The following is a 16254-nucleotide window of genomic DNA, read 5'->3' on the forward strand; positions in this document are numbered from 1 at the left end:
TAATTATGAATTAGAACTTTGGTGTCCTAGGTTTGCAAATGACCTGAAAGAGAATAACACCGGTGTGAATAACTTGACACTCCCTTATGCTGAAATTATTACTGCATATGCAAGGCAGATGGACAAATTTCAGAGCCAGCCTGTCTCTTTCGTTGAAGTGCTCATTCTGTTTTCATCTCTCTCAATCAAGAGACTTCCACAGTTTTCTCTAGGAAGACTGTATCATGGCCAGGTGTGGTAGCTCATGCCTGTAATCCCAGCACTTTGGAGGCCAAGGCAGTCTGATCACCTGAGGTCAGGAGTTTGAGACCCACCTGCCCAATATGGTGAAACTCCCGTCTCTACTTAAAAATACAAAAATTAGCCAGGTGCGGTGGCACATGCTTGTAATCCCAGCTACCTGGGAGGCTGAGGTAGGAGGATCGCTGGAACCCAGGAGGTGGAGGTCACAGTGAGTTGAGATTGCAGCACTGCGGTCCAGCCTGAGTGACAGAGTGAGACTCCCTCTCAAAAAAAAAAAAAAAAAAAAGACTGTAACTGAACATGATTATGTTATCTGTGTAGACAGTGTTTCAAGTCTTAAGCTAAAATTTCCCCATAATTTCACTACCTCTATTTCATTTTTTACCACATTAATTCCTGTTTTGCAGTAGTAAAAAGAAGCTCCGTAATAACATTATTAACACATTTTCTAGTCACATTTTCAAGCTGGATGTTCGAAAGATTGTAACATATAAGTTGTATAAACTAGACTCCATTCCATTTTTTTGAAAGGCAAAACCTAAATGCATAAAAATTACTTAAAATGCTGAAGAAAATAAATCCCTTTGGTTTTATTCCATGAAGGGTACCACTACCTCTTTTATTTTGCTGTCTCCATAGTTAATGCCTTATAATGTGAAATCTAACAAAAGCAAAGGATAACAAGTGACAATGTAAAATTCATGTCTAAAGAAGTATGAAAACAAAAATTTCTTTTCTGCATGTCAACACTCAAGACAAAGTTCATATGTTTCTTAGCATATATATTATAAAAATAAGCCACCATGAATTTTTTTTAAAAAAATTGTTTTACTTCAATGTAAACACTGAAGGAGGATCCTTTTAAATATTCTTCTAAAGATTTTTATCTTTGCTACCAAATTTATGTTTTCAGAAGGACCAGGAAACAAAGTTTAATAATGAAGATAAGTGGGCACTTCCTTCAGACTTTGTTCTGGAATTTATCTTGTGTACATTATGCAAACAAGTTGATAAAGGGAGAGCACAAGAAAATGTTCAAGTTGGGACTGGGCACGATGGCTCACACCTGTAATCTCAGCACTTCGGGAGGCCAGGGCAGGCGATGCACTTGAGGCCAGGAGTTTGAGACCAACCTGGGCAAAATGGTGAACCTCATCTCTACAAAAAATACAAAAATCAACCAGGCATGGTGGTGCATGCCTGTATCCCAGTTACTCGGGAGGCTGAGGCATGAGAATCACTTGAACCTGGGAGGCGGAGGTTGCACGGAGCCAAGATCGCGCCTTTGCACTCCAGCTTGGGCAACAGAGCAAGACTCTGTCTCAAAAAAACAACAAAAAAAAAATTACTTCAAAGCACATGGATTATCATCTTCAATCCTGCCTGCCTTATCAAGACATGATAACTTTTTAGAGAAAAACAACTTCAGTGGCCACTCAATTATACAGCACTTACTGCATGTCAGGCACAGTGTTTCTCACAACAGCCCCATGAGATAGAGACACTTATAATACCCATCTTCCAGTTGAGGAAACCAAAGTACATATAGAGAAAATAACTGACTAAAGGTCACATGGCAAGTGTTGGAGTCAGGCTTCAAACACAGGCATTAGGGTTCCAAAGGATTTCCTCTTGCTGGAATTCTGTGTTACCTCTCTAATACTATACTTCCAAGAATGAAGGACTTCCGTGTAAAGAATGAACATACTGAGCAACTGTGAGGCCTTATGTCGAATGAATTTGGAAATAAGAATGTCCTCAGAGACCAGGTGCAGTGGCGGTCGCCTGAACCCCAGGGCTTTGGGAAATGAACCTGTGGGAGGATCACTTGCGAGCAAGAGTTTGAGATCAATCTGGGTAACATAGTGAGACTCTATCTCTACAAATAATTTTTTTTTTTAATTAGCCAAGTGTGGTGGTGTGCACCTGTAGTCCCATCTACTCTGAGGCTGCAATGAGCTATGATCGTACCATTGTACTCCAGCCTGGGTGACAGAGCAAGGCCCTATCTCCAAATAAATGAATAAATAAGAATGTCTGCAGAGTTAAAGGAGCAACTGAAATTGACCCCAGTCATAGGTCTGCCAAATCAGCTTATGGAGACTGAATGTTCCAGGATATTAAACTTTTTGACAACCAGATAAAGGTATTAACTGTTATTCTCAAGTGGACACTGGTAAGCCATGGCAATGTGGAAAAGGCAGTGTCCCAAAATCAGGGACCAGCAATGCTAGGCAAGCACCATGCAGTGGAGGGGCACTCTCTCGGCTGACTCAAGTGTATGATGCCTACCAGGAGACAGACAAATCAGGCCTCCAGCCTGACAATCTGTGATGTTATCTACCCCCATGTGGTTTGATTACAGTGAGAAAGTGCCTAGAGCAGACCTCACAAATATCCAGTCTGCCTGACAGTTATATTTCTAACTAAAAATTATGCTAAGTCTGATGAATAGACTTGGGTGTATATCAGGGTGAATCAGCTTTCTTAGCTGTGATCAGATATGGAGCAGTAGAAAGACTGAATTTCTGGAGTCTAGCCCTGCAAGGCCGAGGGCCAGATTCTGAACCAGTTTTACCAATATACATACCATATTATGAGTCTCTCAGCAGCCAACCCTAAAAGAATGTCTGCAGAGTTAAAGGATCAACTGAAACTGACTCCAATCATAGGTCTGCCAAATCACCTTATGGAGACTGAATGACTTCCAAGATGTTAAACTTTTTCAGAACCAGATAAAGGTATGATTTATTTCTCTAGTGACCACCTGACTTCTCTATACATACCACTTAGAAAAAATTATATAAGGACCTTCTAAAATCAATTATGGGGCTTTTGGTCTGGAAAGATAAACGCAACACCATATGTCTGAAATCATAGCTTGAAAGATTTGGCTAGAATGACTGTGCAATTATTTGTCAACTTCTGGAATAATAAAACTATAGAGTAACCTTTACAAATTGAAGAATATGCAAGAATTAACTAAAAGTGTCCGGGCATGGTAGCTCACACCTGTAATCCCTGCACTTTGGGAGGCTGAGGCGGGCAGATCACCTGAGGCCAGGAGTTCGAGACTAGTCTGTCCAACCTGTTGAAATCCCATCTCTACAAAAAATATAAAAATTAGCTGGGCGTGGTGGTGTGTGCCTGTAATCCCAGCTACTCGGGAGGCTGAGTCAGGAGAATTGCTTGAACCAAAGAGGTGGAGGTTGCAGTGAGCCGAGATCACGCCACTGTACCCAGCCTGGGGGGAAAATAAAAATAATAGGAAATAATAGTAAAAAAAAAAAAAAGTAAAATTAAAAATTGAAGAAGTTGTTTTTGGATAGATAGATGCATATGAGTGGATATAAAATCCATTCCAAGGGGATGGACATGCAATCCCTTTAGTGTTTACTGAATTCCTACTAAGTTCAGGGTACTGAGCTGGGTACTTCAGAGAACACATGACAAGTGAGAGGTAGCAAGTCCCAGTTCTTTACTCTTTGGTTGTTCGCAGGCTAGTAGAAGGGTAAAGACAAAGACCCAAAAAGCCTCAAGGGAAAACAGATTAATGTGGGTAGGACAAAGGAAACAGAGATCTCATCTGCTGAAATAGTGTGGCATCACCAGATGTCCTTAACACCTAGGTAAGTAAGAATCCTTTCCAGATTGCTGGGCATGGTGCTGTCAGGATCACTTCATCTCAGAAATGTCCTTACTTTCTGCCTTGGCTCCAGAACCTCCAAGCATGGAGTCAGCTTCCTGTTGGAGGAACTGTTTAAGATGCAGTTTCTTACAAGGTGGTACCTTCTTGAATAAATAGTGCTCCATCTTCAGAAAAACAACGCCTGTCTCACTCCTCAGGCTGCCCCCTCCACCTACAAAAACACTTAATCTCACTCGTCCAAAAAAACAGAAAAGGAATAAAGATTTTAGCCAGCATTCCAAACACAAAAGCTACCTCCACTTTTGGGACCCTCCCCAGCCTCCCCCAGGTACCTCTGAATGAGCTGTCTCCCTAGACTAGAAGTAGACACCAAGGCCACCTCCATAGTTTAGGCAAAGAACACAGAAAATCACGAGTCAGGAGCCTGTGGGTACATCTGATCCCACAGACTGGAAAGATTTAAGATTGAAGAGTGATAACTAAGCAAGTCTCAAAAACGAAGGCTCTTGATGATGGAAGGTAGTGTAATAAGAATCAGTACACATATTTAGGAAGGGGCATCCTCCCCCAAGCCCCACCCTACTCTTGTACAAGGTCAGCACAGAAAAGGGGATTATGAAATAAGACAAAATTAATTCTCTTATTATTACTTTAGAATTCTTTCAAGTCCCTTAGTTACAGTTCATAATCTTCACCTCCTTAGGAACGGAAATCATAAATCCAAGGCTTTTTAATTTAATTTAATTTAATTTTGGCAAAGGATGTAGATTTGCATGAATACCTGTAGAGATAAAACCTGTTTTTCCAAGAGGGAAGTAGTTAAGAAAATGCCCTCTGGCATCCCCTAACTCTGTCTTATTTGCTGTGTTATCTTTATGCGAATTACTTCTGATCAATCTCACTTTTCTCATCTGCAGAATGGGGAATATAATCCTATTTAGGATTATATATTAAAAAAAAAAAAAAAAAACTGCCGGGCGCGGTGGCTCATGCCTGTAATCCCAGCACTTTGGGAGGCCGAGGCAGGCGGATCGCCCGAGTCAGGCGTTCGAGACCAGCCTGTCCAACATGGTGAAACCTCGTCTCTACTAATAATGCACAAATTAGCTGGGCATGGTGGCTGACGCCTGTAATCCCAGCTACTTGGGAAGCTGAGGGAGGAGAATCGCTTGAACCCGGGAGGCGGAAGTTGCAGTGAGCCGAGATCACACCATTGCACTCCAGCGTCGCCCACAGAGAGCGACTCTGTCTCAACAACAACAACAAAACCAAAAGGCCCTTAAGCCCACTGCCAGGCACGTATCAAACTGACAATCGTGCAATCGTGATTTTAAGCCAAAGTCAATGTAAATTTTTAAAACACAAAACAAATGGCAAGCCGGAACCATACCTCCCTACAATCTGGATAAATATATTTAGATGCCCATTGGCTGGAGTTTTTAAGACCAGCCCAGGCTCTGTGGGCCAAGAATCGGCGCAGGAGCGAACCGATTTGTTGGCCAAGAATTCGGGCCAAAACTTGTAAAGTTGGCAGACGCACTCGCCATGCCCTTCTCAAGTGCCCTCGCTGCGCAGCCGCAGGGCTGGAGCGAGACCGCCGGCCGGAGGCGCGTTTCTCTGAGTTCACCCAGGAACCAGACGCCCGCTGGACGTCAACTCGGCCGGACGCGGGGCACGGGCGCTAACAGGCTCCTAGGAGCCTCCCCGGGCGCCCCCCGCCCAGGGCGCGCTCTGCTCACCTGCAGGTTTCGGCGGCTCCGCGGTGACTAACAACAGCGGCAGCAGCAGCAGCAGCAGCAGAAGCGGTGGCGGCTGTGGCAGCCCCGGGCGCCCGCCCGGACCGCCGCGGGTCATCGCTCCACGGCCGCGACCTTCCTCTGCGGGATCAGGCGGCCGCGGTGGCCCGCGGTGGCAGAAGTTGCAAGAGAGGCTCCTGGCCTACTCAGGGGCGCCGCCTCTCCGAGGTGGGGCGTCCTCAACTTTCCTCTTTCTTGAGCCCGGCCTGCTCCGGGCTCTGAGGGGCGAGGACGCTTCACGTGGTGGCCTGGGGCCCACCCCGCCTAGGAAAGGCGGATCCTTTACGTCTGACCCTCTAGCAACCCCTGGGCCGGTCTGGGAAAGTTCCCCAGCTGCACTTCTGGGAAATGCAGAGGCTGCCTGCCGCTTTCTTTCGCAGTTTTGCGGCCCAAGGCTTGGGCGAATCAGTTCACATCAACACCCCTACTAGCCTCTCCCTCCGGGGTCGACCATTTATCTCCAGCAGCGGACCAGGCGCCCGGGCCAGGGTGACATGCGCGCCCTGCCTACACGCAGCTCGGATCCTCTGCTGTTTCTGGAGAGGCCTCCACAGGTGCGTTTTCCTCAGCGATTAGCGTACCCCTCATTCCCAGGCTGTTTAACCTAAATCCATGCGCTGTAGCTCAGATTTTTTATCCTTTTTGCTTCCTCTTCGTTGGCTGGAGCCACCACAGGAGAGTGATTCAGACGGGGCTGACACTAGACACACTCCTACGTTTCTGTGGAGTCCCCATTTCTGTGTGGGGTCAGTTAAAAGTGACATTGTGAAGTAGTCAAAAGTTATGCCTTGGGTGATATTGTGAAGTTGGCACCGGGTGCCCTAGGTGACATTGTGAAGTAGGCAAAAGGCATTTCATTCATTCACTCAGCATTGGCTGGGCCCATCTTATACTCCAGATACCAGTGATATAAAGACAGCTAAGAGCATGCCTCACCACAGACAAAAAGAACTAAGCCAGCCGGGCGCCGTGGCTCACGCCTGTAATCCCAGCACTTTGGGAGGCCGAGGCGGGCAGATCACGAGGTCAGGATATCGAGGCCATCCTGGCTAACACGGTGAAACCCCGTCTCTACTAAAAATACAAAAAATTAGTCGGACACGGTGGCGGGCGCCTGTAGTCCAGCTACTTGGGAGGCTGACGCAGGAGAATGGCGTAAACCCGGGAGGCGGAGCTTGCAGTGAGCCGAGATCGCGCCACTCTACTCCAGCCTGGGCGACAGAGCGAGATTCGTCTCAAAAAAAAATAATAATAATAACAATAATAATTTTTTTAAAAAAGAACTAAGCCATATAGATAAACAAGTACACAGAACTTGCCATTCTACTGTGTTAGAGCTATGTTTAAGGTGCAGTGGGAGAGGGGGAAGGAGGGAACAAGCCACCTCTCAGATGGGAACCTCAGCACCCCACTCTTCCTCTTGGCCTTTCTTCTAAGCTTAACCTAGGTGTCAAGGAGAGATGAGAAGAGAGAATAAGCAGTACCTTTCATAACGGGGAAAATGTAATTGTTAGAAAAGATAAAGAACCTAAAAGTTCATCAAATCTCTGTGCAAATTGTGAAACACAAGTCACAATTTTGTGGTCCAGGCACCATGGCTCATGCCTGTAATCCCAACACTTTGGGAGGCCAAGGTGGGAGGATCACCGGAGCCCAAAAGTTCAAGACAAGCCTGTGCCACACAGGGAGACTCCAACTCATTTTTATTTAATTAAAATTAAAGTCACAATTATGTTTAATGGCATTTAATGAATGAAGACATCGAGGACATTGTAAAAGTTGCACATTTTCCTTCAAGTTAGAAAATTAAAATGAAGAAAAATTAAAACGAAGACATCGAGGACATTGTAAAAGTTGCACATTTTCCTTCGTTAGAAAATTTAAATGAAGAAAAATTAAAATGAAGACATCGAGGACATTGTAAAAGTTGCACATTTTCCTTCAAGTTAGAAAATTAAAATGAACCAAAAATGAAAATTTTGGTTGTGTTATGATGGGAAGAGAACCACATTAGGATGTTCAAGGAAGTGGTGCCACCCCAAATATTTGAGTCATATTGCCCTATACCACCCTCCTTCACCTTACTAACCCTTCTGATCCAAGGAGCCAAGTGTTCTGATGAAGTAAGATGCATATAAATGCCTAATGTGAACCTTGAGGCATTCATTCATCTATTATTTGTCATCAAATATTCGTTGACTCCCATGTTCCAAGCACAGAGCAGTAGACAAAACAAAGTCCCTGCCCTTGCAGAGCTTGCATTCCAGTAGTGGGGAGCAAATTATACATATAAACAAATTAATTGGATCAGGACTTCTCCACATCAGCACTATTGAAATTTTGGAGCAGACAACTCTTTGTTGTGGGGGGGTTGTCCTGGACACCCCTTGGCCTTTACCTACTGGATGCTAGTGGCACCCCCATTGAAAATGTCTCCAGACATTGTCAAATGCTCCCGTAGGGGGGCAAAATTGCCCCCTAGTTGAGAATCACTGAATTAGATGATAAATCTTGCTTTCTTTAAATTATGCCAGTTTTACATATCTGGGAGGAAAATGAGCTGCAAAACTCACACATAGTTAGGAAAATAAATCTTGGGACCCCAAAATCACTAAGCCAAGGGAAAAGTCAAGCTGGAAACTATGTCAGGCAAACCTGCCTCTCATTTTATTCTGAAATAAGATAGCTACAAAGATAAGAAGCTACATACCTCCCTCACAGTTTGCCCACAAGGAAATTCCCTGTGGACAAAGGGAAGACAGAACTTAAAAGTCATCCCTCTGAGGCTCACCTGAGACAAATGCACATCTGATTGCTTCCTCTGCAGTATTGTTTATGTAAAAATGCAGACTCCCTGGGCCAGACTAAGTTGTGTATTCTGTGGAAGGCTGATCAAGGATTCAAAAGAATGTAACATTTTGTCTCTTTTCTACTTCTAACATGGAATACCCCACTTTGAGTTGTCTCGCCTTACCATACTGAACCAATGTACATCTTACACGTATTGACTGATGTCTCATATCTCCCTAAAATGTATAAAAGTAAGCTGTACCCCGACCACGTTAGGCACATGTTGTCAGGACCTCCTGAGGCTGTGGCCCTGGTGTGTCCTTAACTTTGGCAAAATAAACTTTCTAAATTGACTGAGACCTGTCTCAGATTTTTTGGATTCACATACTAAAGCTGCAATGAGGAGAACCAAAGATGCCAGCTGCGAAATGTTCTCATCACTTCTATAATGGACTTGTGTGGTTTGGGGCTACTCAGCGTCCATTATTCTCTTCCTGTACCAACTTTTGGTGCAGGAATGCCAACTTTTGGTGAGCCAAGGGTGGAGGTGTTTCTACCAGGAGACACAATAAGGAAGTATTATTGAATTGGAATTTGAAAGTGCATTACTGAATTGCAATTGGTCTTTTTTGAGCTCCTCTTAAAACATAAAAATATGTTTGAATGGTTAAGAATAGGATTGTAGTATTGGTAATTTTGCCTTACTATCAAAAGGAGTAGGAGCATTGGATGCGGTGGCTCACTCCTGTAATCCCAGCACTTCAGGAGGCCGAGTTGGGTGGATCACTTGAGATCAGGAATTCGAGACTAGCCTGGCCAACATGGTGAAACCTCGTCTCTACTAAAAATACCAAAAATTAGCTGGGCATAGTGGCTCATGACTGTAATCCCAGCTACTTGAGAGGCTGATGCAGGAGAATCAGTTGAACCCAGGAGGCAGAGGTTGCAGTGAGCTGAGATCGCACCACTGCACTCCAGCCTGGATGACAGAGAGAGATTCCATCTCAAAAAACCAAAACCAAAACAAAATGAAAGGACTGGGAGCATAATCTCACCTGGGAAGCACCACTGGGGACTCAGACTCCTCATCCCAATGGGCAAAGAATCCCAGCAGCTGAGTTGCTGGCCCAAAGCAAGGGGAACATGGAAAAAAGGTGGAGAAGAGAAGTCACATATAATTATCTATAGCCAGGTGACCAGTTGCAGAAACAAAGATAGTGGTCTCTATTGGCCTCTATATTTCTTTCCTTGCTGTAACATGTATGTGGTGGATTGAAAATTTTACAGTTACAGTTCCAGAATGAAATATCCAAAATGTAAATTTGTTTCTTTTCCAAAAAAGTGTAATTAACTTAGCATTCAAACACATCCACTGATGGTAATTTTTTTTTTTTTTTAATTTTTTGTAAGACAGGATCTCACTATGTTGCTCAGGCTGGTCTCAAATTCCTGGGCTCAAGTGATCCTCCCACCTTGGCCTTCAAAAATGCTGGGATTACAGGTGTGAGTCCAACCAGTAAAAATTTTTAAATACCAGATTTAAGGTTGCGCAATTTCATTTGGACCAAATCCTTAGTGTCCTTTGCCTTCTTTATGTCCTTACCATTTTTCCTTAAGGATGACCTTAGCTTCGGGGGCTTATGTATTGACTTGGTACTAAATAAGGGACATTTACTCTGTGAGTCATACTCTTGGCTTAGTGGCCTCCACTAAGATATAGCTTTTTTTCTCATTCGGTCTGCAGGAATTGTAGTGCATAGGCATCTGCTGTTGGTATCTGCAGCTTTACCTTGACCTCGGATTTAGATTTCCAGATACTCTGTGTATTAGTTAATGTAATGCTAGCTATGATGACAGATAAACTCCAAAAGTTCATTGGATTAATGCAACAAAAGTTTATTGGTGTCTTGTATGCCAGTCCAGTGTGGGAGTTCTTAATCAGTAAGTGGCTTTCCTCCATGTAGAAATTTAAGAACCCACCTATCTTTCATCTTGTGGCTCTGTCATTCTCTAAGGCAGAAGTTCCCATGCTTTCTTGGTTTATAGTGCCCGTAGAGTGTCAGTAATATATTTTTAGGGCTGCAGACCAAAAGAAATACCTAACAGTTCTTTTTACTAAGTAGTTAGAGCCACACAATGCAATAGTAGTCATTTGCTCAGTATCCTACAGATGGTGCTACATGTCCCTCAAACATTTAAAGTATCCCAGAGAGCTCCGTTGATTGATTATAGTGTATTGTGCTACTACTGTTTCCCATGAGTATTTACTATATTCTCAGGTACACTCTGTGCATTCACTGTGGTTGCCAAACTGTGTGCGGGAACCATAATGCTATGGAGTCTTGTCTTCTGGCGATGGGAAGAGAAAAGCACCCCTCACCCCTGCTTCTTCTTTTTTTGTTTTTATTTATATATATATATATATTTTGAGATGGAGTCTCACTCTGTCGCCCAGGCTGGAATGCAGTGGTCCTATCTCGGCTCACTGCAATCTCCGATTCCCGGGTTCAAGCGATTCTCCTGCCTCAGCCTCCCTAGTAGCTGGGTAGCTGGGACTACAGGTATGCACCACGATGCCTGGCTAATTTTTGTTTTTAGTAGAGATCAGGTTTTCTCATGTTGGCCAGGCTGGTCTAGAACTCCTGACCTCAGGTGATCCACCCACCTCGGCCTCTCAAAGTGCTGGGATTACAGGCATGAGCCATCATGCTTGGCTGCACCCCTGCTTCTTAATAACTTCTGCTTACCTTCCATTGGCAGAGCTAGACATATTGCCCTATCTTTATGCTAACAAGACTGGGAAATGCAGCCTCTACCTGGGATGTCATTGCTCGGTATGGAAGTAAGAGCGCGCATTTCTGGTAGGCAGCCAGCTGTTTCTGACACACTTGGCAACCTCTTCATCCTGACTTGGATACTCTTGGGTCGTTTGGCTCATTCTCAAACCCCTCTGAGCCCTGCGGGAGTGGCAATAGGGCCTGAAAGCTAGTCTGATCTAGTGTGCATCAATTAATGAGCCAGCCATTGGGTTCATCTCCCCAAACATCTCCCTCAGTTATTGCTACTTTACAACTCAGGTGCCATGTGGGATTATATGGGTCCTATTCAAGGCTTGCAATTTTATGGGTATGTTCTGGAAAGTTTAAACATGTCTGCTCTGGTAATTAGAGACCTACTTTGAGTTTCTATTAGCAAACATTTCCACACTCTGCCTCACCCATCAAACAGATGACTCCCCCGCTAACGAGGAGGACAGTCCTAGACCCTTCACATCGACCCATTATGTATTTATCTCATCAGCTCTTCAAACTTTTTACTTCTGTGGGCAGGAACGAATTCAACATTAACATATATTGTTATTCTAATTTATTGTTCTTTAGTATATCATATGCTCTTCTGTTTCAGTCTGTTTTTCCATTTTCCAAGTTTTGATATTTCAAAACATTTTTCTCTTTCAGATTCATAGATCTTATGTTTTCATGGCTTTGAAGACTATTGTCTCTGTACACACAAGGTCTCAGAAAGCCACAGAGTTTACCCTTTGGTCTTCTGATATTTTTGTTTTTTCCTCCCTTAAGCAATAAGCCTTTGCCTTTTGGAATAAATATAGCTGTGAAAGATTTACTAGGTTAAATAAGAATTTCTCAAAAGAAAAATATGTAGAGTAAACCGGGTGTGGTGGCTCACGCCTATAATCTCAGCACTTTGGGAGACCAAGGTGGGTGGATCACTCAGTCAGGAGATTGAGACCAGCCTGGCCAATATGATGAAACCCTGTCTCTACTAAAAATACAAAAATTAGCCGGGCGTGGTGGTGAGCACCTGTAGTCCCAGCTACTTGGGAGGCTGAGGTAGGAGAATTGCTTGAACCCAGGAGGCGGGGGTTGCAGTGAGCCGAGATTGCATCACTGCACTCTAGCCTGGGTGACAGAGTGAGACTCCATCTTAAAAAAAAAAGAAAAGAAAAGAAAAGAAAAATATGTAGAATAATATTTTAGACTACCATCTAACTACAATTATGAACATTTACTTATGTAATTGATTTTTCTTTTCTATTTTTTCCTCCATTATTGCGTGTAGGTTGTGTTGGTGGTTAAATTTACTCTTTGGGATTTAGGGCCAGGCAGCATGGCTCATGCCTGTAATCCCAGAACTTTGGGAGGCCAAGGTGGGAGGATGATTTTTGCTCAGGAGTTCGAGACCAGCCTGGGCCCTGTAGTGAGACCCTGTCTCTATTAAAAAAAAATGTATATTTATATGTATATGGAAAAATAAGCTTACCATTTGGTCCATCAGTATCAGAATACTGAGTCTACGTTGCTGCAGAATCAAAGAAAAAACGAACATTTTTCATAAATCCCAGGTTTGGGCTCAATGCCTATGGAGCTTGTCTTGACCACTTATAACCGTCTGTCCTGTCTGTCTGTCCTCTCATCTATGCACTTGCCTGTCCTTTATACATGCTGCTGGCCTGTGAGTGTCTTGTAAATTGGGTACAACAGGAGGGGCTGCCATTGGTCAGTGATTATAAGGCTGTTATAGCATGTCTTGGCTTTAGGACCATGGTTTTAGGGGTGAGATTTGAATCAGGAATGGATTGACTACAGCAGGAGAGGTAGAGGTTAAGAAAGAAATTGCTGTACAAGCTGAATACTGATTAAGCAGTTTATTGTTACTATTATTTTTCTAGAGACAACAAAGTTATGAACTTTTTATCCTACTGGTAGGCTTTTCTTTCCCATCCTTACCTTCAAAGAGGCTGAAAAAGGCACTTCTGAATACTTTTAGGGCCAAGAGCATTTTCTGCATTGCTTGAGGGATGCAATTTTTACTTAATTGTTCCTTTTTCATTATTTCCCTAAACCTTTTCCTCTAGCTCTTTCCTAAATTGTGTGGCTGCATTCTTGAGTAGCTGCCACCAACTTCCTCTATTTACATTTCTTCTCCCAGGTTTACGATCTTAGTATCTTCTCTTCATTCTACAGAAAAAAAGTACAAATGCCAAATACAAACAGTTAACTAGACATAATCCTTTCTTAGTGGTATTGAGCCTTGACTGTAGATGTGAAACACTCCTATATTAAATATCCACAGCTCTTCTTTCAGGTTGTAGGAAAGGATTTAAGCCTTAATGGTACTGGCATAACAATGACTAAATGAAAAGTGCCTGATAAATATTTGATGAGTCTGGCTGCTACTGATTAATGAAGACAGTAAGAAGAACAATTGTAGGCAGTCAATTCTTGAAAAGTGGCTAGAAATTAACATTTAAATATAACCCAGGGTTGGCTGGGCTTAGTGGTTCATGCCTGTAATGCCAGTACTTTGGGAGGCTCAGGCAGAAGGATCACTTGAGGCCAGGAGTTCAAGATGAGACTGGGCAACATAGCAAGATCCATCTCTACGCACACACACACACACACACAAAAAAAAAAAAAAAAAAAAAGATTGGCTAGGTGAGGTGACACATGACCTAGTTCCATCTACTCAAAAGGCTGAGGTGAGGTGAGAGGATCCCTTGAGCTCAGGAGTTTTAGGCTGCAGTGAGCTATGAGTGTGCCATTGCACTCCAGCCTGGGCAACAGAACCAGACCCTGTCTCTAAATAAATAAATAAAACCCAGGCTCAAAACTCCAGAATTTGTTTCTAGGAAAAGATCACATTTCAGCCTGGACAGACACCTCCTGGATACAGGAAATTGAGTTAGAAACTGTGCATATCAATCTTCTCTACAACTGTCCTCTGAGGAGTTCTGAGGAGCAGTGCCAAAAGACATTTGAATACTCTCTCTGTTGAGAAACACACTGTCTACCAACTCTTTTAATTTTAAGATGAATGATCAGAAACAAGAATGAACATGACATGGAATCGTTGAAAGATATCGCAGAATGAGAAAAAGGGGGCATGTCTTGAAATCTTGGATTTGTAATCTTGGTAGATTTCTAAAACTACCAATTTAAGGAAATGAAATAATATTTTAGAAAATGTTTTGACATCTTCCACAGAGTATGAACAAACATGGCCTGCAAGAGCAAAACATCTGTAAAGAAAAACAGGATATAAGGAAAATGCATGAGATGAAAAGGGAAGATGAGTAGAATAAGAAAGTGTTGATAGAAAATTGAAAATTTAATAGTGGAAATTAACGTTTCCATTGGAGACAATAGTAAAATGGAGAAACTGACAGTGTTAAAAAATTGAAATTGCTAACTCAATTTCAAGGACAAATTGATAAAGCTCTCCAAGAAGAAGGAGGAAAGATAAAAAGATTAAAATGAAAAGGAAGATAAAGGTAAGAGACACAAAAGACTGCAGAATTCAAGCAAAAACTGAGATGTTTCTGACCATGCAATCAAACTAATTAGAATAGAATCACGGATGAAAACACTATCAAGAAAACTTTTCTGAGGTGAAAAAGAGATCTAAGTGTTTCTCCTGATATGATGTGATGGAAGAGGCACAAATCATGAGGATAAAATCTGACTGGGCTGACTCAAGGGTACATGACATGCATAGTCAAACAGGGCCCCAGCTTTAAAGGGGCCCACATTTGATTTAATGCTCTGCTGTCACTGTCTTTAAATTCTTACCCAGGATGGAGTGCAATGGCACAGTCACGGCTCACCACAGCCTCGACCTCCCAGGTGATCCTCCCATCTCAGCCTGTCAGCTCGCTGGGATTACAAGTGTGTGCCATCACGCCTGACTAATTTAAAAATTAGCCAGGCATGATGGCACACACCTGGGTGCGTGGGCGACAGAGCAAGACTCCGTCTCAAGAAAAAAAAAGAAAAGAAAGGATTACTTTGATATACTTCAATTGATTGACAAGTCAAAATTAAGACCCGAAGAATAGAGAAGTCATAATGTAAAATTTTGAAGAGGAATCTCATGCAGTTTAGTAAATTCAGGAATCAAATTTGTTGGGTATTCTAAGGTGGATCCTGCAACCTTGGGGGCAGCTTGCCCCTCAGAGCTCTCATTAGCAGAACTGTATTTTTCTTCTGCTTCCTTTTTGCCCAGTGATACATTTTGTGTTTCTCAAGCTACATTCTTCATAGCACAGCTCAGATGAAATCTTTGCTGTGGTTGATGACCACATAAACCACTTACAGATCCTTTTCTGTACAACACTTGCTACCAAGTACCTTGGTTGAAACACCGTGTCAGCAAGAATTATGTAACAGAAGCAAAGTTACATAAAAACCATAATGGCCATTTCCATTGTCAAACAAATTAAGCAATGATTTTGTACATTGCTGACATCCTGACAACTCCCATTGAATAATGGGTCTTTTTTTTTTTTTTTTTCCTGAGACAGAGTCTTGCTCTGTTGCAGTGGTGCGATCCTGGCTCACTGCAACCTCCACGTCCTGGGTTCAAGCAATTCTCCTGCCTCGGCCCCCTGAGTAGCTGGGATTATAGGCACGAGCCACCATGCCAGGTATATATATATATATATATAGTATTTTTTTGTATTTTTAGTAGAGATGGGGTTTCACCATGTTGGCCAGGCTGGTCTCAAACTCCTGATCTCGTGATCCACCCACCTCGGCCTCCCAAAGTGCTGGGATTACAGGTGTGAGCCACCACGCCTGGCCAATGTGTCATGTTTTTAAAAATTAGCTGTGAAAAACAAATGACTAAGGGGCGATATATGAAACAGCCAGGAAGCCCATCCTCTTATTGTTCATCTTGCAGGGAATGCTCCCACGTGCTTGCAAATTGTAGGATCTTGGCTAAGCTAAACTAGGATTCATGTTTGGATATGTCCGA

At 43.0% G+C, this 16254-nt stretch overlaps 1 protein-coding gene and 1 long non-coding RNA gene across 2 annotated transcripts in view, besides 3 other annotated features; one reads left to right on the plus strand and one right to left on the minus strand.

Moving 5' to 3' along the window:
- Window positions 1–5933, minus strand: part of PLBD1 (phospholipase B domain containing 1) — a 64223-nt gene extending 58290 nt beyond the window's left edge. Inside the window, exon 1 of the mRNA NM_024829.6 lies at window positions 5632–5933. Within this exon, the coding sequence (NP_079105.4) occupies window positions 5632–5746 (115 nt within the window). The 5' untranslated portion in view covers window positions 5747–5933. The remainder of the gene's footprint in view (window positions 1–5631) is intronic.
- Window positions 4778–4954: a silencer, noted in NCBI's record as "fragment chr12:14719662-14719838 (GRCh37/hg19 assembly coordinates)". NCBI's record gives its function as "represses an EF-1alpha promoter that drives an FKBP-Casp9 reporter gene in an ReSE screen in K562 erythroleukemia cells {active_cell/tissue: K562}" and the evidence as "EXISTENCE:reporter gene assay evidence [ECO:0000049][PMID:32094911]".
- Window positions 5199–5880: an enhancer, noted in NCBI's record as "H3K27ac-H3K4me1 hESC enhancer chr12:14720083-14720764 (GRCh37/hg19 assembly coordinates)". NCBI's record gives its function as "activates a minimal SCP1, AML or CMV promoter by ChIP-STARR-seq in primed H9 embryonic stem cells {active_cell/tissue: H9 hESC(primed)}" and the evidence as "EXISTENCE:reporter gene assay evidence [ECO:0000049][PMID:30033119]".
- Window positions 5694–5803: a silencer, noted in NCBI's record as "silent region_4274". NCBI's record gives its function as "represses an Ori minimal core promoter by ATAC-STARR-seq in GM12878 lymphoblastoid cells {active_cell/tissue: GM12878}" and the evidence as "EXISTENCE:reporter gene assay evidence [ECO:0000049][PMID:35858748]".
- PLBD1-AS1 (PLBD1 antisense RNA 1) overlaps window positions 5782–16254 on the plus strand; it is a 52024-nt gene continuing 41551 nt past the window's right edge. The window contains exons 1-2 of the long non-coding RNA NR_120465.1: window positions 5782–5856; window positions 6069–6242. This is a non-coding gene — a long non-coding RNA (PLBD1 antisense RNA 1). The remainder of the gene's footprint in view (window positions 5857–6068; window positions 6243–16254) is intronic.

Source organism: Homo sapiens, chromosome 12 (assembly GCF_000001405.40).
Source record: "Homo sapiens chromosome 12, GRCh38.p14 Primary Assembly".
NCBI classification, from domain to species: Eukaryota; Metazoa; Chordata; class Mammalia; order Primates; family Hominidae; genus Homo; species Homo sapiens.